Source organism: Homo sapiens, chromosome 17, assembly GCF_000001405.40.
Source record: "Homo sapiens chromosome 17, GRCh38.p14 Primary Assembly".
NCBI lineage: Eukaryota > Metazoa > Chordata > Mammalia > Primates > Hominidae > Homo > Homo sapiens.
Window position 1 is genome coordinate 66,508,942 of NC_000017.11, and position 19,646 is coordinate 66,528,587.

The window sequence follows — 19,646 nt, forward strand, 5'->3', positions numbered from 1 at the left end:
AGCTGTGGCTGCTGGCCAGGGAGTCCTAAGGTCTGCCCCACATTAGCTTGGGAGGGTAGTGCAGGTTTTTTACAAGGGAGTGGCAGTTTTCCAAGAAGGAACACCTCAGTGTACACACACTTAATAGGCTTCCCCTGGCGCTGTGTTTCCCAGTGTTTCATTGGCCAAAGCCCAGAGTCACTGTGAAGGTTTATGAATCAGGGTTCTCCAGAGAAAAGGAACGTGTGTGTGTGTGTATGTGTGTGTGTGTGTGTGTGTGTGTGTGTGTAAAGAGATTTAATATAAGATGTTGACTCAATGCAATTATGGAGGCCGGCAAGTCCCAAGATTTGCAGGGTGAGCTGGCAAGTTGGAGACCCAGGAGAGCCAATGGGATAGCACCAGTCTGATTCTGAAGGTCTGGGAGCCAGGAGAGCTGATGATGTAAGTTCCAGTCCAAGCTCAAAGGCAGGCAAGCTTAAGACATCAGCTCTGAAGTAAGAGCTGATGTTTTAGATTGAGTCCAAGAGCAAGAAAAAGCTGGTGACCAAATCTCAAGGCCTTCAGGCAAGAAGAATCCTCTCTTACTTGGAGGGAGAGGCAGTCTTTTTGTTCCATTCAGGCCTTCAACAGATTGGATGAGATCCACCTGCACTAGGAAGGACAGTCTGCTTTGCTCAACCTCCCGATCTAAATGTTAGTATCATACAAAAACACCATTGTGTAAACACCCAGAATAACGTATGACCAAATGTCTGGGCACCTGGGGCCCAGTCAAGTCGGCACATAAAATTAACTATCACAGAAGGGTGTGGAACCTGGGGGTATGAGTCACTGGGGCCGTTAGTGTAACCATTTGCCACAGGCAGACTTGTTTGGGTTATAATTCTTTCCTGTAAATCTTATTCATCTCTGTATCCCCAATGCCTAGTATGATCTCTGACTTATAGTAGGTGATCATTAATGTTTGTTGAAAGAGCGAATGAATGGAAAAAAAAAATGAAGTCTTTGATTCCCTAAAGAAAATGAAAATAATTTCATAGACTTGAGTCAAGCTTGTCCAACCCACCTTATTTTGTTGTCGTGGTGGTTCTGTTTTGTTTTGTTTGAGACTTTTGGCAACCTGAAGCCATGTTTTTTAGTTTCTATCTCTAGTGATAAGCAGAAAAGAGGGATGAGGAAGGGGCTTTACTGGCCCAACAAGAAACAGAAACTAAGAACCCATGACTGTATTCTCTCCCTTGGACACTCCTAGGAGTGGAATATCTGTGAAATGTTTCCTGCGATTCTCTCAGAATCAATACCAGCCACTTCCTGATTACAAGTTACCATCTTTAGAAAGAGAATTTTGTTTTCGGGGGGAAAAGGTTTTTTGTGTTGAGGGACTCTTCAGTGCTTGAAGTTTAAGCCTAACGAAATTATGCAAGATGCCCACTGAACTGTGCCTGCTGTGTGACCAGAATCTCTTAACCTCATGAGCATTTTTTGGTTAAATGTTGGTAGGAAAAACTGCTTATTGAAAGGCAAAACTTGTTTTGTCACCTGCGTATTTTAGGGTGATCATCCTTGAAGTGATGGCTTATCATGTAGAGAGGTTTGTAACCAATTGCAATTCAAAAGGGAGAAATGGAGAGAGCTAACAGCTTAAGGAATCAATAGCCTTTGATTTCTTTCCCATTTGATCACTGCCTTTCTGGGTATATTCCTGACTTTACATAGCCTGCCTTTGCCAGGACAGAGACTGTCTTCAGAAATCTTAGAGTTTACTATTCTTGTTCATGAGAAATTGTTATGAGATTGCTGTAGGAAAGTATGTATTTTACTAATTTTATTATTTTTTTTTGAGATGGGGTCTCACTCTGTCGCCCAAGCTGGAGTGCAGTGGCCCAATCATGGCTCACTGCAACATCAACCTCCCTGGGCTCAGGTAATTCTCCTACCTCAGCTTCCCTAGTAGCTGGGACTACAGGCGTGCACCACCATGCCCGGCTAATTTTCGTGTTTTTTGTAGAGACGGGATTTTGCCTTGTTGCCCAGGCTGGTCTCGAACTCCGGTACTCCGGTGATCTGCCCACCCCTGCTCCCCAAATAACGTATTTTAAAACATACAGATTATAACTGCTTTACAATAGGTGAGGCATTTTTTTTCGTGTCATAAAACATGCCTGTGATGAATGCCTTTAGGAAAGCAGTACGCCTATTGCTAGCTTTCTGCACTTCCAAGTCCCAAGCCTATTCCTCCTCATCCCTTTTTCAAGGCAGGAAGCTTTGTAGAATGAGCATGGGATATCAGTGTTTAAAACATAAGAATTTCATACTCGAAAATGATCTTCTCTGTGGAGGTGGGTGATTTTAGGTTTCTAGATATTAAGCTTGTATTATGACTCATTTGTTCTTAAACAGGTTGTTCTCCAGTTACTAAAATTAATCACAAAAGACCAAGGAAGCTTGAAAAAGAAGGGGAGTTCATACAGCAGGTCTTAAAATTAGAAAGGCAGGGCTGCTCTCTTTTGCATTTGCTCAGTTTGAATGATGCACCAGGATTTAGGTAATTCATCGTAATCGTTGTTTTTTCCCCATTAAGAATTGGTAACTGGGAATAACTTAATGTGTAAAACTAGACGGGGAAGAAAAATGGTAGGCTGAATATTTAAGAAGGAATCACATTCCTAGGTATTAAAGGGGCTTGGGCTTGCGGATTTGCTGCTCGCTGTCAGTTTGGACACGTGTGCTCAAATCAGGTCATTCTCTCATATAGTGAACTTTTTTTTTTTTTTTGAGATGGAGTCTCGCTCTGTCACCCAGGCTGGAGTGCAGTGGTGTGATCTTGGCTCACTGCAACCTCTGCCTCCCAGGCTCAAGAAATTCTCCTGCCTCAGCCTCCTGAGTAGCTGGGATTACAGGTGCACACCACCACACTCGGCTTATTTTTGTATTTTTAGTGGAGACAGGGTTTCACCATATTGGCCAGGGTGGTCTTGAACTCCTGATCTCGGGTGTTCTACCCCCCTCAGCCTTCCAAAGTGCTGGGATTACAGGCATGAGCTACTGTACCCAGCTGTCAGATAGTGAACTTCTGTCCATCCGGCAGCCAGACAATGAGAGAGTCCAGCACAGTAGCGCCTCTGAAGAAATACACTGCTTGCCAAATAGCTTCCTAGCTTGGCTCCTGGTTTCCATTCCCATCCCCTACAGTTTACCCTCCACAGTAGCTAGTCTGATGTTTTGCAAGTGTTAATATCAGGCAGATCAAATCATTGTGTCACTCCATCTGAACCCTTCAGTGCCCTCCTCTTAACCACTGGAATAAAAAATATGTATACCCAGCCTGGCCAACATGGTGAAACCCCGTCTCTACTAAAAATATAAAAATTAACTGGGCTTGTTGGCAGCCACCTGTAATCTCAGCTACTCAGGTGGCTGAGGCAGGAGAATTGCTTGAACCTGGGAGGCGGATGTTGCAGTGAGCCAAGATCACACCACTGCACTCAGCCTTGATGACAGAGTGAGACCCTGTCTCCAACAACAACAAAAAAAGTGTGTGTGTGTGTGTGTGTGTGTGTGTGTGTGTATTTCTTTCTTTCCCTTGGTCCACAAGGCCCATCATGATTGTGATCTGGCTCCTGCACACCTCACTGACCAGAACATCCCAAGCTCATTGGCACCCCAGGGCTGCTGCCCTGGGCGGTTCCTCTTTGTAGAACTAATCTTCATGATGCTCATTCGTACGATTTCAGACTCCGCTGAAATACTGCCTCCTTCGAGAGCCTTTTTAGATCATACCCCCCTTGTTATTATTATTTTTGAGCTGGCCCAGGCTGGAGTGCAGTGTCATGAACTTGGCTCACTGCAACTTCCACCTCCCAGGTTCGAGCAATTCTCCTGCCTCAGCCTCTTGAGTGGCTGGGATTATAGGCGTGCACCACCATGCCCGGCTAATTTTTGTATTTTTAGTACAGACAGGGTTTCACCATGTTGGCCAGGCTGATCTAGAACTCCTGGCCTCAGTTGACCTGCCTGCCTCTGCCTCCCAAAGTTCTGGGATTGCAGGCGTGAGCCGCCGCACCTGGTCCCCCTCATTATTTTCTATTACTTTATGCACTTCAAACCCCCTGTCATCATCTAAAACCATACAATTTATTTGTTACTTGATTATTGGGTATCTTTCCACCAACTTGAAAGCACCGTGAGAGCAGGATGTTATCTTACTCTTCTGTTTAACCTAAAATGGTGCCTGATGTGTGGTAGGTGCTCAGTGAATATTTGTTGGCTGGATGAGTGAATGCATTTTAGTTGCACAAGGGAGATGAAAGATCTTATAGGGTTTTTTGTTTCCTTCTAACAATAAAACTAAAGGGAAATGTCCTAAGATCAATAGAGACTTTTTCCTTTCTATGACTGTGATGCCATGCCAGTGAAGCCTGAGACCTGCCGTGTGATCGGACATCTTCCAAATAAAAGGTGTGTTCTTCTTAATCTTAATGTTTAGAATATGCAGCCTATAAAATTAATTTTAAAATAAAATGCATACAGTCAATCTTATTTAACTAGAATACTTAACCACTTGATTCTGAATGTTGCCCATTCTGGATAAGTGAAGTAGATGTTGAATTTAAAACCTTGAGAATAATTTGTATCTAATAGGATCCTAACCTTGAATATTATGGCTGCATATCGACTTGGGATCAGTGTCCTCTCTTAGATTGTCCTCTGCAGTCATTAATTTTTTTCTGCTAATATTCTTGGTGAGCAGTAGGGTGTTGTTAAGTAAATTGATGCATCAGTGTGATAAAATACATGCAGCCATTAAGAATGATGCTTATAAAGACATAGAAAAATGCTTATATGATGCTAGGTGCAAAAGCTTAATATAAAGTTATTGCCATGATTGTCACTACAGCAGAGTTAGTGTAGGGGAACAGGAAGTAGAAGGGAACCTAAAAGATGGAAATCATTTAATTGATTTTTAAGGTGATTTGACATAGGGAGATTTTCTTTTTGGATTTAATCTTGTTAGAACAATACAATTTTCAACAGTTATAAAATTCTGTTTACAGTAGTCCCCACTTATGTGTGGTTTCAGTTACTTTTAGTATAGTACACTAAGATATTTTGAGAGACCACATTCACATAACTTTTATTACATACAGTATATTAGTATAATTGTTCTATTTTACAATTAGTTATTGTTATTAATCTCTTACTGTGCCTGATTTATAAATTAATCTTTAACATGGGTATGTACATATAGGAAAAACATAGTATATATAGGGTTTGGTACTAGCCACGGTTTCAGGCATTTACTGGGGTTTCTTGGGATGTAGGCCCTACAGATAAAAGGGCGACTGTACTTGTACCTTTCTCTAGTCTAAGCCATGTAATTCTCTTGAAATATGACAGAGCACTGTCACCTCCCAGAATGCTACATGAATGAAACATACCCACCCATCTGAGAACTCTCCTTCGCCCAACAGTGTGATGAGAAAGTTGTCTGTTGCAGATATCTACACTGCTGCATGCTAAGTGTGTCATCCTGGGATTCAAACGTGAGTAATAGAAAACCTGACTAAGCAGCGACTTGAACTGAATAGGAGGCTCGCTCTCCTCATTTAACAAAATGTCCAGAACAGGGCAGTCCAAAGCTGATACAGCAGCTCCATGTTTCTGTGCGGGACCCGGCCTCCTCCAGCGTTTAGTTTAGCTGTCTTGTCTTGTAGGCTTCTTTCTTTCATTCTCATCTTTGTTACCCGGTAGGTGTGAGATGCCTGCTTCATTAGCATCCTACCCGTGCTCCAAGCAGGAGGTGAGCCAAAGGTGAACTCAAATCACAGATGCTTGTTAAGGCCGTTCCCATTCAAAGAACTCCTCCAGAAACAATTCCATTCCAGCAGTTTCCATTTACATCATCTTGGCCAGAACCATATCATGTAGCCACTCCGATTTGGAAAATGTTAGGTTTCTGGTTTATCTGGATGGTTTTGTTTGCTTGCTTTTGTTGAGCATGTTTCTACCTGGAACAAAGTTAACTTAGTTTTGTGATAAAGAAGGGATGTGGCCGGGTGCGGTGGCTCACATGCATAATCCCAGCACTTTGGGAGGCCGAGGCGAGTGGATCACTAGGTCAGGAGATCAAGACCATCCTGGCTAACATGGTGAAACCCCATCTCTACTAAAAATGCAAAAAAATTAGCTGGGCATGGTGGCCTGCGCCTCTAGTCCCAGCTACTCGGGAGGCTGAAGCAGGAGAATCACTTGAACCTGGGAGGCGGAGGTTGCAGTGAGCCGAGGTTGCAGTGAGCCAAGATTGCGCCGCTGCACTCCAGCCTAGGTGACAGAGCAAGACTCTGTCTCAAAAAAAAAAAAAAAAAAGAAGGGAATGAATGTTGGATAGGTAACTAACAGTGAACTCTGTCGTAAAGTTGCTGAGGATTGCCTTACCATGTGTGCACACGTGTGTGTAAGTCTTTTCAATGCTCCTATTGCTGTGACTTCATCTCTAGTACAGGAAGGATTCTGTCACATGACGTCATGACAGGTTTTGAGATACAGTGGAATTAACTGAGTTTCTTGATCTGCTGATGACAGAAAAAGGAGACAAGGATGAGGAAGTCTTGTGTGAGTTTTTCTTTTTTTGCGGGGGGTAGGGTGTCTCACTCCTTTTGCCCAGGCTTGAGTGCAGTGGGGTGGTCACAGCTCACTGCGGCCTCAATTCTCTGGGCTCAGGTGATCCTCCCCCCATCAGTCTCCCAAGTAGCTGGGACTGCAGGAGTGCATCACCATACCCAGCTAATTTTTTATATTTTTAGTAGAGATGGGGCCTCGCTATGTTGCCCTGGCTGGTCTTGAACTCCTGGGCTGAAGCAATCCGCCCACCTCGGCTTTGCAGAGTGTTGGGATTACAGGTGTGAGTCACCATGCCCAGCAATGAGTTTTTGTTTTTGTTTTTTGTTTTTCTTAAACAAGGCTTTTCTTTTATCTTTAAACACTTTGTTGGTTCTCTCTGTTTGGTAGTTGTACTATGTCTAAGTTGTTTATTTTGTTAGGAGCATTTTGTTGTAATCATGAAATATTTTGAGATTCAATACTTGTGTTTATTCAGTCATAATATTCTTATTATATAATACTTCCTGATAGTAGATATTAGGATTGATTGAAGCAAAGCATGTGTATTAATAAACTCAGTATTCATTAAAGCAGCTTGGGTTGCCTGTAGAAACGGCAGAGCATCCCCAAGGCTGAGGGAGGCGGGGCTCCTCTGTGGGTAGCAGACTTCATCTGCAGGACAATGTGCAGCACAGGCTGCGGGTATTAAAGGAGGGATCAAGAAACTGGTATTACCAGGGGCACTTGGGAGGATAGGGGATCAGGTAAGCCATAGCATAGAGACCCAGAAAATGAGCCAGGAATGTTCAGTGTGAAAAAAAGAATAAGGCTGGGCGTGGTGGCTCACCCCTGCAATCCCAGCACTTTGGAAAGCCGAGGCGGGTGAATCACTTGAGGTCAGGGGTTCGAGACGAGCCTGGCCAGCATGGTGAGACCCCGTCTCTACTAAAAATACAAAAATTAGCCAGGCGTGATGGTGGGTGCCTGTAATCCCAGCTACTTGGGAGGTTGAGGCTGCAGAATCACTTGAACCTGGGAGGCAGAGGTTGCAGTGAGCTGAGATCATACCACTGCACTCCAGCCTGGGCAACAGAGCAAGACTCTGTCTAAAAAAAAAAAGAATAAGTTGCAGGACTTGATATGAGAGCTGCCTTTCTAGGAAGAAGGGTGGACTCACCTTGGGAACTCCATGTGCTGACCCAGACCACTGACAAGGCGTTATCAGGGGACAGCATTTTATACAACCCTGAGAACAACCTCCAGTGAGTAGATGTTTCCAGCAACAGAACAAGGACTGCAGAACAGGGAGGCTGAGGTGGCTTAACAAGAAATGCTAGCTCTGATCTGGGCCGAAGCAGCAGTGATGGTTCCCCTAGGCCGGAATTTGATGCGAGGCTAGGATGGATATTGGGTTTTCTCTCTGGAATAGCTCAGCTCCTCCTGTGCCACCTGGCTAATTTGTACTCTTTCTTCAAGAATCGGAATTGGCCGGTGGTTCACGCCTGTAATCCCAGCACTTTGGGAAGCCGAGGCGGGCGGATCACGAGGTCAAGAAATCGAGACCATCCTGGCCAACATGGTGAAACCCTGTCTCTGCTAAAAATACAAAAATTAGCTGGGCGTGGTGGTGCGCACCTGTAGTCCCAGCTACTTGGGAGGCTGAGGCAGGAGAATCACTTGAACCTGGGAGGTAGAGGTTGCAGTGAGCTGAGATTGGGCCACTACACTCCAGCCTGGCGACAGAGTGAGAGTCCATCTCAAAAAATAAAAAATTTTCAGAATTAGTATCTCAGGAGATTTTCCTGACTACTCCCTGTCCCCCAATGGACTCCTTTCTTCCCCTCCTCGCCCCCAATTCAGTTGTTTCTCTTCCACCTCCTGCGTGCCTCTTTGAAGACTTTCATACCACTTGTTGTAATTGTTCCTCTGTGTCTGCCCATGCACTGTGGCCCTTGAGGGCAAAACCTATCTTTCATCTCCCCGTCCCTGTCCTCAGTGCTTACACAGAATCTGGCATGTATCTGGCTCTCAACAAATATTTATTGAATTAGCAAGTAAATGAATAGAGATCAGATTCTGCTTGAGTTAACCTTGACGTTAGACAGAATTTCTGTTCTAACTTTTTTCACGCCAAAACCATTCTTACAGGTTTTTCTGAGCCAATCTGTTGTGGCCTCTTAGCATAATGGATAGTTACTGAGAAAAAAGAATTAACACCAAGTTCTTGGCGCAAGTGCCATCCAGTTGAGGTGTGCAACTTCCATGCTTGTGACAAGGTTGAAAATTACTCATCAAGCTGTTTTTGCAAAGCAGTTTCTGCTTATCAGTTTACGCATGAAAAGTCCACTCTGTGTCTGTGTTGATGACCATAACGTGGACCATCTAACAGCTAGGATATTTAGGATGGTTGTGAGTACGGCTGCAGGTTCCCTTTTGCTTATTGAAATAGAATAACCAGAGAAGAACAAGGCAAGTTTTAAAAATAACTTGGTACACATGTAGGTGAAATAACCTTACCTCCCAGTAGCTGAGAGAAAAAAAAAAGATCTCAATGCTGGCTGTTGTTCCAGGATATTTTTAGTAAGATGGCCCTGTCGTCTTTGATGGTCAATGAAGGAATAATGGCAGAAAAAAATATTAGGCGAGGAGAAGGCTACGGGCATTGTTTGGTGTTTCATTTAATTTCCACCTCATCCACCAGAGAAAAGCAAACATAAGCAGAGGTTGATGATGAGCACAGTAGAAAGGAAAATGTGATGTGTCTTTTCCTTGTAGTTGGTTGATAATATGTGATTTGCTTATACCACATTCTGATGGGAGGTATTTTCAGTCTGTGGCTTTGTAAGTTGAAGGGCCTCCTAAGAAACTCCTGTTTCGTAAGATATTCTCTGTCTTAACTTTTTTCAGGAAAAAATATGATTTTTTGGAGTTGCTTAATAGTTTTTAGCTTTTAAATAAGTATAGTTTATTTACCACAGCATTTGAACTGTCAGGATTTTACTGTGAATGCTACCAGAAAGGTTTGTTCTATTTTTACGAGAATCTTCTTAGGGAAATTGATGAACCTGGTAACCTAATTTTAGACCTCCTGAAATTTGACAGATGGATGGTATTTATAGTGTTCTGAATCGGTCCCTATTAGACATTTAAAAATAGTCACATCATTAGAGAATACATTCAAAAAAGAAAAGATTTTTAACCCAAAATCTAATGCCCAGAAAATTTTTAGTCTCCTAAACTGGGTGTGCATTTTGGTAACAGTTTCTAAAAAGCCTTTTTGTACTCTCCTCATTCTCTTTCCTGTGTGATGCTGCTGTTGTCATGGAAACAGATCTTGGAGTTGCTTTGTTAATACCGTGTAAGGGACTCCCTGAAATGGAGAGTTACTGCAGGTCATTATCATCAACACAGAGCTTTAATATCAAGTGTTGTGCTATGATGCGTACACTACAAAGCACAGAAATCTGTGTTTGGAGGTTACACTAAAGACATTTAACCTTGACACCCATAAACACTACACAAACATCAGGGTCTTCAGTCATAGAACCTGGAAAAGTGGAGGCAATGGGCTCATGCTATTTCTATTGCAGATAGTGAGCTATGTCCTGGTTTGGGGCCGTCCGTTGTTAGGTGCTCCATTAGGGCTGGCTTATTGAGAAAGGAGGATTTGGAAGATTGTTGAGTGAATCCAGGAAAGGAGCAAGCCGAAAGTTCACAGGGATTGTTGGAAATTTCCAACAACAGTTTAGATGGAAATTGGCTCCTGGGATGAAAAATGGCTGTGCATATTGTGTTTGAGTGCTTGGAGGCCTCTAGCTAGAATGTTTTTATTAGCAAGTTTATAGCTTGTAAGATGGTCCAGTCAGATATTCATGCAAGGCATTTTATGATGTACGTGATTTTGTTGACTGGGGCCTTAAGGTGGGAAACAGTTGGAAGGTATAGTGGACTCTTGCTGCCCTGGGACTATCTCTTGCCTCCCCACTTATCAGCAAATTCCATAACCTTCCTGGCCCTCGGTTTCCTCACCTTTCAATTGGTGATTCTTTTACAAGTTATACTGGGAATTAAATGGGGTGGATGATGATACAGGATCTTGAAGCGCCTGGTGCTTGGTAAGCACTAATTCCTCCAGCCCACACTTTCTTTAACATTTCCTATGCCAGCAGTTCTCAAAGGGGCTTGCCAGACCTCAGCATCAGTATCACCTGGGAGCTCATTAGCAGATATTCACACACCACAGATCTTCTGAAGCAGCAAGGCAGCGGCTGGGGCCTGGCATTCTGCATTTCCCAAGCTCTCCAAGTAATGCCTATGTTTGAGAATCACAACCCTAGACTATGTTTCTGGGGCCAAGATTACCTTGGATATGGTTGAGTGCAGTTCTCCTTACCATGTAAGATTCCTGGCAATTCCCAGAGCTCATACACTTCACTGTTAAAATAAGGTATTGGAGAAGGTGGCTTTTGGATTCCTAAGCTATTGGAAGGCCAGGATAACTGGTTTGTTTTGTTTGTTTGTTTGTTTGTCTGTTTTGGCTGAAATGCAGTGATCTGATCATAGCTCATTATAGCCTCAGGTACATGCCATCCACACTAATAATTTTTTTTTTTTTTTTTTTTAGACAGAGTCTTGCTCTGTCACCCAGGCTGGAGTGCAATAGTGTGATCTCAGCTCGCCGCAACCTCCTGGGTTCAAGCAATTCTCCTGCCTCAGTCTTCCAAGTAGCTGGGATTACGGGTGCCTACCACCATGCCCGGCTAATTTTTGTACTTTTAGTAGAGATGAGGTTTCGCCATGTTGGCCAGGCTGGTCTCAAACTCCTGACCTCAGGTGATCCACCCGCCTCGGCCTCCCAAAGTGCTGTGATTACAGGTGTGAGCCACCATGCCCAGCCCACCGTGCTAATTTTTAAATCTTTTATAGAGTCAGGGTCTTGCTATGTTGCCCAGGCTGGTCTCAAAACTCCTGGCCTCAAGCAATCCTGCCTCAGCCTCCCAGAGTGCTGGGATTACAGGTGTGAGCCACTTCAAAGAACAGAATAACTTTGAATGCACAGTTTGTATTTGTCTTGCTATCAAAAGGCACGTTAAGTTCAACTTATCAAAGGTAATGCAGTTAGCAACCATTTTTCCCCTAAATTTCAGGTATCCAGATTTATTATTTAGAATTATACTTTCTCCTTGGGCTAAGGAAACAGTTGGCCACACTTTTCTACTCTATATTCTTCATTCCTATTCCAATGTGACTGCTGATTTCTGACTTTTAAAACCTAAAAGATTTCTTCCTAAACTTATCAGGAAAAGTAAAATGACTCCAGTACCACTTGCCACTGCTATTTTAGAGACAGTGAAATTCTCTGAGGTCTGTCATTCCTGATTTTATTGCTTTATAAAAGCCTGCTATAGAATGTTTTTTAAAAATACAATGATTTAAAAGTCTCCATGCCAGGGCAGCACTGGCAAATGAGGAGGCAGGAGGTCTTCATGTAGGAGATGCTTCGGGGACAGTGTGGCTTGTGGCAGCCTCAGGACTCTGGGCATCTGTCCACTCAGTACAAACCAAACTGCAGCTCCAACTAATTTTGATTTGGAAATTGCCCCCTTAAAAAAAAAAAGTACTAAAAATGTTTGACATTTACCAGATTTCTGCAGCAGTCTGCAGTTTCTCTTGCAAGTATATTCACAGACAGTGAAAGGAAGTATTTGGCAATTGCTAACTCATGTTTTTATATAGTGTAGAAGTCCAAAGATGGTAATAATGTCATATTATAGTGATGGCGATCTATAGTGTAAAGTATAATGACCATAAAAGAGTTCTCATTTTTATAGTTTTTAAACATGATTTCAGCATCCAGAGGCAAACTCCTATGTAAGGATAATGGTCGTGCATGGCCACAGAGATTTTTTTTCTTTAATTCTCAATTGCTTTTCACGCTTAACTTTTTCTAATAAGTACTATCTCCCAAGATTCCAGAAGATGGTACAAATGAGAAAATAAGGTTTATCTTTTCTCTAAGAAAGACTAAACTGTGACTTTTTTTTTCCTTTCTGGCTAATTAGGACAACAAAAGTAAACATCCAATTATGCAGTGATGAATCAAGTCATCTGGCTGGAGCTGGATTCTTTAGTGTGTTAAGTTACAGTAAATATTGAAAAGAAGGACTTTATGCAGTAGGACTGTTTTCAAGAAAAAGAAGACCAGTCTCAGCCAAATTCAAATATCTTGTAGAGAATAAATGCCTCTTGGGTTTATGGATTTATGCCATATGTGTGAGAAGAGAAAATACGGTCAAGAATTGTTGTATTTCTTGACTCCTTGAAAGGCAAGAACACTGGCTTGGGAAATAGGGACACCTGGTTTCTAGTGTTAGATAAATCTTCAGAATACAGAATGCTCTTTGAAATAACAAAATACTTGAGTGAAGGAAAGAATTGAGGAATGAACTTAAATTTAGCTCTGAAAGAATTCTTTCTTCAGTCTGTGGTTCCCTTAGCTACTATTCAATCTCTCATTTCCATCTTAGCCATATTTTAGCTTCCACCCTGTATGACAGAGACAGGGGTCTTTCTCTTGGTTTGGAGCACACATCCCTCAACATGTCCAGTAGGGAGCTCCTGGGCGACGGGTCCTGCAGGTGGATGTGGACCAGGAGCCCCGTGGGAGGAACGTGCCCCTGGGGAGAGCTGGTGGATACCCCGAATGGCAGGCCACCTGGGGCAAAGCCAGTGGAACCTGACTATGGCAGGATGAGAACACCAGTGTTTTATAATGCCCACTTTTTTTTCACTTCTTGCAGTTTCTATGTTTATTTCCTGTTAGCATTTAGTAGTATCTTTATGAGTTTATCTCAGTTATGCTAGGCAGAAAGGAGCTCTTGTCAGTTGGCAGGACCGAAAGGAGAGAATAGGCAGGGGGAAGAGGGGACAGTAATCGAAGTAGGAGCACCTTGAGCGAAGTGAAATGTGGGATGGAAATGGAAGCTCCTGTTTGTGATCTCCCAGAGAGGCTCAGTCCAGCGCCAGGTGCCGTGTGCTTGTGGAATAAAGAGACCGAATTCCTTCTGTACTGGGGGTTCATGCTGAACCCCACCTTTGTTGAAGGGGAGGAACCAGCTGCCCAAGGCAAACTAGAAGCATGCTTGCAGGAGGGAAGGTTAAGACACACAGTTTATGTGCATAGCAGTGAAAACCATAGTGTCTGTTCTGAAGTTTGGGAAAATAGTGTGAGACTGTCTAGCTGGGTCTGTCATTGGCTGATGTGTAGTATGTGTGGGTCGCTCACTAAAAAAAAAAAAAAGAAGAAGCCAGGCCCCAAAGGAAGAGGGCATTATTCATAATGAAACCTACTATGAATCCAGTGGGGTCTTGATTTCTGCTTCTTCCTGGGCTGTGCCACCAGGACTTCCTTGATAGACCTTTGGTGTCATCATGAATTCTGTTACTGATCCCGGAATAAAGATTTGGTGCCCTCCGGTTTCCAACAGTATCCAGAGATGGCCAGGGAGGATTTGGATGGGAAGGATTAAAGTTTGTATACAGGAGAGAAGACAGTACTCTCTGAAGTGTGTGTGGCCTGAGTCACCTGGTAGAGGTGGGCTTGGGTCAGGTTCTGGTCACACTGTCATTCTGGCTGCAGAAGAAGAAGCAAGATGAGTCAATCAGTGTAGGATTTCAGAGTGTGGGGCACTGACTTCCCAAATTTGGCTGCACATCTGAATCACCTGGGATACTTTCCAAAATGCATTCCCCCAGTTCCTCCCCGAAATTCAGGCAGGTCATTCTTAGGAAAAACTGGGAGTTAAAAAGCACAAACTTTGGAGTCAAATAGCACTTGGGTTGAATCTCAGCATCAACATCTTTTATTGGTTGTATGACCTTGAGCAGGGCATTTAACCTCTCCAGACCACAGTTTGTCTGTGGGCAGAAGACAAACAATCCTACTTATTTATAGAGTTTTGGGATGAATTAGATGAAATAATGCATTTAAAATGCCTAGCTCTTTGCCCAGCATATAGTAATCATTCAGTAAATATTAGCTTATGTTTAACCAAAATGTGTATGTCAGATCCCTGCTTAGTACTGTGGGAACATGCAAAAGAATTAGAAAAATCATGCTCCCTTCCCTGAATATGGCTGAGAAAAAGCGAATGCACCTGACTATTTGGTGAGTTCCGGCAGGAGGAGGGGACATTGTAATGAAGCTCAGATTGCCGGAAGATGCTGGAAGGATGCACTTTGGACCTAAGGCAGGTCCAGGGTGGTGCCTGGTGGACATGAAGAAGGCAGCAACTTTCAGAGCGAGCGTCAGAGGGGCTTGTAATGAACAGAATTGCCTTCTGATGATGTCAACATATCTAATACAAGACTCTGACTAATTACTATTTATAGTTGCTTATATTCAAAAGCTTGTTTATGCTGCAAGTAAGGCTGAAAACTGTCAGCAGGGTGTAGTGGAAAGAGCTCAGAGCTGAGTCTGAACTCCTCAATTTTTATCCCATCTGTGCTGCTGACTAGCTGGGTGACATCAGACAAGCCTCGCAACTCCCAGGCCTCAGCCTCTGCAACATATACAGGGTGTGTGTGAGTGGGAGGAGATGGGGGATTAGACAACTGCTAGGGTCTTCTGGCTCCAACATTCAACAAAAACATTTACTGCACTTCTTTCCCAAAACTTACTGTGTGCCCTGATTTTCAATTCCTGATACTCTGTAAGGGGCATTGTTCAGTGGAAGACTGTGTGTTTTGCTAATTTGTTGCTTGCGATTCAGATTCCTTTAAAGTTAGCAAAGAGCATTTTTGTTACATTGGAACAATATAGGAAGTATCCTTCATTATGCTTTCATTTGTTTTTGAGTCACAAGAAACTGTTACTGTTGTTTTGGGAGACTGATGTGGGAATGTCTTAGCACATCATTTCTCTACTCTAATTTTAAATACGGGTAGTCCCTGACTTATAAACAGTTGACTTGAGATGACCCATATGTACAGTTAGTACTATCTTAGATGTGAGAATCCAGTTCTCATCTCCTACTGCAGAGCTCTTCTGTAATTTTTCAATCAGAACACCTAGGAGATGTCTATTCTTCTCATTTCACAGATCTTCACTGCTTGCCTTTTATGGGCCAGGTTCTCTTCTGTGCCCTGGGTATCCAGCAGTGAACTAAGCAGACAAATCTCTGTGCTCACAGAGCTTAGGTTACAGTGCCATTGGCCTGGAAGGTACGCTTGCCTATTGCCCCAGGTGAGGAGGAGTCTGTGACAGGTATCTGGGTCTGTCTTCCTCTATCCAAGATCACTTCCCCCACCTCTTCCCTGCAAGGAGACTAAATCATAAAACCACAATGCCTTTTTATGTAGAAACAATAGAATATGTGACTGCTAGGTATATGTAGTATATTGCAAAGAATAGCCACAGATCCTCCCATCCTGGTTACATGTTCTCTTATAACGTGTCTTTGCCATGCTTTCAGTCAGATGTCTATTTCTCTACTCCTGTGAGTCAAGTGGCTTTGTGACTTCCTTTGACCAGCAGAATGCAGTGCAGTTGACATCATGGGAGTTCTGAGCTGAGGTATTAAGAGACCTCACATATCCCACTCCTGCTTCTTCACTCAGAACTTCTGCAGCCACAGAAGTTCTGATTACCCTCCTGGAGGATGAGAGACCACGTGGAGCAGAAATGAGTGTAAAACAAACCAGCACCATTGAGTTAGGCCATCAGGCACCTGCAGCTGCATGAGCTTTCACCAGCTTAAAGTCTCAAGATGCTCACCATCAGCATCATATTTTTTTGTTACTAATAATTGAAAGATGTAAATATTTATGAACTTAATATAGATATTAATATATTTCCTATTTGTCATGAATGAAATAGGCCCTGGAAGGTTGGCATTGGAAAATGCCTTTCACATTTTGGACCATCCACTTAGAGACACATTTTTGGAAAAGAACCACTTGAAATCTGGTGCCCAGCTGTACACGTGTTTTGTGGAGAGAGACAGATTAGCGCTGGCACGTGTGAGACAGTGGTTAGTGAAGGGTGGAAGATCGCCAGGGCTCATGGACCTGCTTCAGATGGATGTAAATAGTTGGAGTGTACTGGAAAGGTATGGGACTAACATGACCCTGACCAGAGTTTGGACAAGTGTGGTTTCATTCTGGGGGACTGACACTTATTTCTTTCCTAGAAGTGTTGATGAAAGTCATGACTCAGTAATATCAGAAGTGTGGGACCAAAGTGGAAAATAAACTCCTGACTTCATGAATTAAACAGAAACATGTCAGGGCCACTCCATACTCTTCTTCCTGTCTTCCAAAAGTCTCTTTTTTTTTCAATTCAGAAGAAGGTCTGGGAACATTCTGTGCACATAATTATTTTATAAACAATATTTTATTTAATGCCCTTGCTAATAATACTTCCTATAAATAAACAATAAGAGTCGTCATGGTTCCAGATTGCCTTTATGATAATGATATACCATATGTTTAAAGAAATGGTCTAAAAGACATACTGCTGTGATTGAAACATTTTTGGAAATTGTGTATGCTAACTGTATATTGCTCTACAGAAATCTGTTTTGATCAGTGGATAAAAGCAGCTACACATAACTATGAGGAAATCTTGAGAACATTTATTAGTAATTAAATATATAGCTGAAATATGTGCCTATATGTATATCCGAAAATTATTATAGGAGATGGTTTTCAGTGAAGATGATTGGGTGGCTTTGAAATAAATAAGTGGTTTGGTTTATGATTAATGGATTTATTAATTTGCTATGGTCACCTAACAATCCACCCCACAAGTTGGTGGCTTTACAACAACAATCATGTTATCGCTTCCAGTCATGTTATCACTTGCAGACATAATCTGCATGTCACCTGAGGGTTGGCTGATTTCACCTGTGCTCAGCTAGGCATCTCGGCCTCTCATTGTGAGGCTGTGAATGGACTCTGCGCCGTACCTCTTCTCCAATTCTGACCTGGGGCAGCTAGCTTGGGTGTGCTCTTCCCAGGGCTAAGGGGGCAAGGCAAACCCAGGAGGATGGGCAGAAACACTAAGTCTGGTTCATTCTAGGCTTGGTAGGGGCATGTCGTTACTTCTGTCTCATTATGTTGGCCAAAGTGAGTCACATGGCTAAGCTCAAAGTTAGGAAGCAGGGAAATAGACTGTATCTTTAGGGGAGGAATTTCAAAGTCATATGAAAAAAAAGGTATGGATACTACAGCCAGGGATGAACATTTGGAGCCAGTAATGATATTCACCCCTGTGTCTGTGTGACTCCTAAGAAGAGCCAAGACTTGTTAAAGATGAGCAGAGAGGTAAATTAGTTTGGAGATGGTGAAGAAGCAGTTTGGGGATACTTTGGTCTGCGTATAACATTGAAGACACCTGTCTTTCCTTGTATACCAGGGGTTGCAAACTATAGCTTATTGGGCCACATCCTGCCCAAGGCTTGTTTTATTGGAACACAGCCATGTCCAGTGGTTTGTGTGTGTCTTGTGTGCAGCTGCTCAGCCCTGCCACAGACAGTTGAATACTTGAGGCAGAGACTGAGTGGCCTGCAGAGTTGAAAACATTGACTACCGGGTTCTTTGCAGGTAAAGTTAGCTGACTCCTGTTTGATATGATGCAACTGGATAGAATCCATTTGGCTATAATCTCCGCCTCTCTACCTGCCCACCCCATACCCGCCCCAGTTCCTTTTAGGATTTTCCTACTGTGCTTTGCATTCTCATTATTCTGTGTTTTTATAAAATAGGTAAAATAGGAGGTAAAGTTATCCTGGTGCCTGGCTGTTGGCACTGATGACCAATGCAATTTGCATCCACAGGTCATAATCCTTAAAGTTTATAAGGCGACAAATTGCAGATTAGAGGACATACAAATGAGGGAGCCAGTTGCTACTTTTGCCTTTATTATTAATGTTTTGTGGCTCTGCGGGTCATTCATGATGTTAGACAATAGGGTGATTATTTCTGTTCTGCTGAAAGACAATCTGATTGTGTTTTGTGTAGAATGAGGCACTGATCCGCTCTGCCTGCCTCCCATGAGAAATGCCGCAGACCTTTGTCTGCTCAAACCTCCTCCCGTCAGCTCTGGTATTGTGATGGAAGTAATTGACCAGGCCTCATGGGTCAGCATATATCTGTACTGCTGTTTATTCTTCTTTCTACTTTTTAAGGACTAAAATCACTTTCTTGTAAAATATTACAAAGACATTTTAAAAGAAAAGACTGTCCATTGTATTTTTCCACCCCCTTAAAATATATTCATAATGATCTTTTTAACTGGGTGGGACTTGATTTGGTTTAAAAACAATAATCTTGGTGACTGTATGGAAATACGGAAAATGTTTAATACAGTATTCCATTAAAAACATGATACAGGTTGGGCGCGGTAGCTCACGCCTGAAATCCCAGCACTTTGGGAGGTCAAGGCGGGCGGATCACTTGAGGTCTGGAGTTCGAGACTAGCCTGGCCAACATGGTGAGATGGTGAGACCCCGTCTCTACTAAAAATACAAGAATTAGCCAGGCGTGGTGGCTACTGTAAGCCCAGGCATCTGTAAGCCCAGCTACTCAGGAGGCTGAGGCAGGAGAATTGCTTGAACCCGGGAGGCAGAGGTTGCAGTGAGCTGACATGGCACCACTGCACTCCAGCCTGGGTGACAGAGCAAACGAAACTCTGTCTCAAAAAAAAAAAAAAAAAAAAAAAGATGCATAATTGCTGCAGGTATGTGATTGTAACCATAGAATAAGTAGGTATGTACATGTGGTAGATAGAATGATGTGCCTTCCCCCTGAAGATATCCATGTCCTAATATCCAGACCCTGTGAGTGTTTTTCCTACATGGAAAAGAGCATAATGCAGATGTGATTAAGTTAAGGGTCTCGTGAGAGATTACCCTGGGTTATCTGGGTAGGCCCAGTGTAATCACAAAGGACCTTCTAAGAGTGAGGGATGAACTCACAAAAGGATGCAGAAGCAGAGTTGGGAGGGTTGCCCTTCAAACATGGAGGAAGGGGCCATGAACCAAGGAATACAGGTGACCTCTTAA

At 42.9% G+C, this 19,646-nt stretch overlaps 1 protein-coding gene across 11 annotated transcripts in view; it reads left to right on the plus strand.

Annotated features, from left to right (window-relative positions):
• Nucleotides 1-19,646, plus strand: part of PRKCA (protein kinase C alpha) — a 508,131-nt gene that overhangs the window by 206,329 nt on the left and 282,156 nt on the right. Inside the window, exons 1-2 of one of the 11 annotated variants that reach the window (XM_024450830.2) lie at nt 4,400-4,440; nt 5,380-5,525. The exons of 9 other annotated variants lie outside the window; for them this stretch is intronic. In XM_024450830.2, coding sequence (XP_024306598.1) covers nt 5,496-5,525 — 30 coding nt within the window. In that variant the 5' untranslated portion in view covers nt 4,400-4,440; nt 5,380-5,495. Of the gene's footprint in view, nt 1-4,399; nt 5,526-19,646 lie in introns of those variants that run through there. One more of the 11 variants, XM_024450829.2, reaches the window with a different exon arrangement.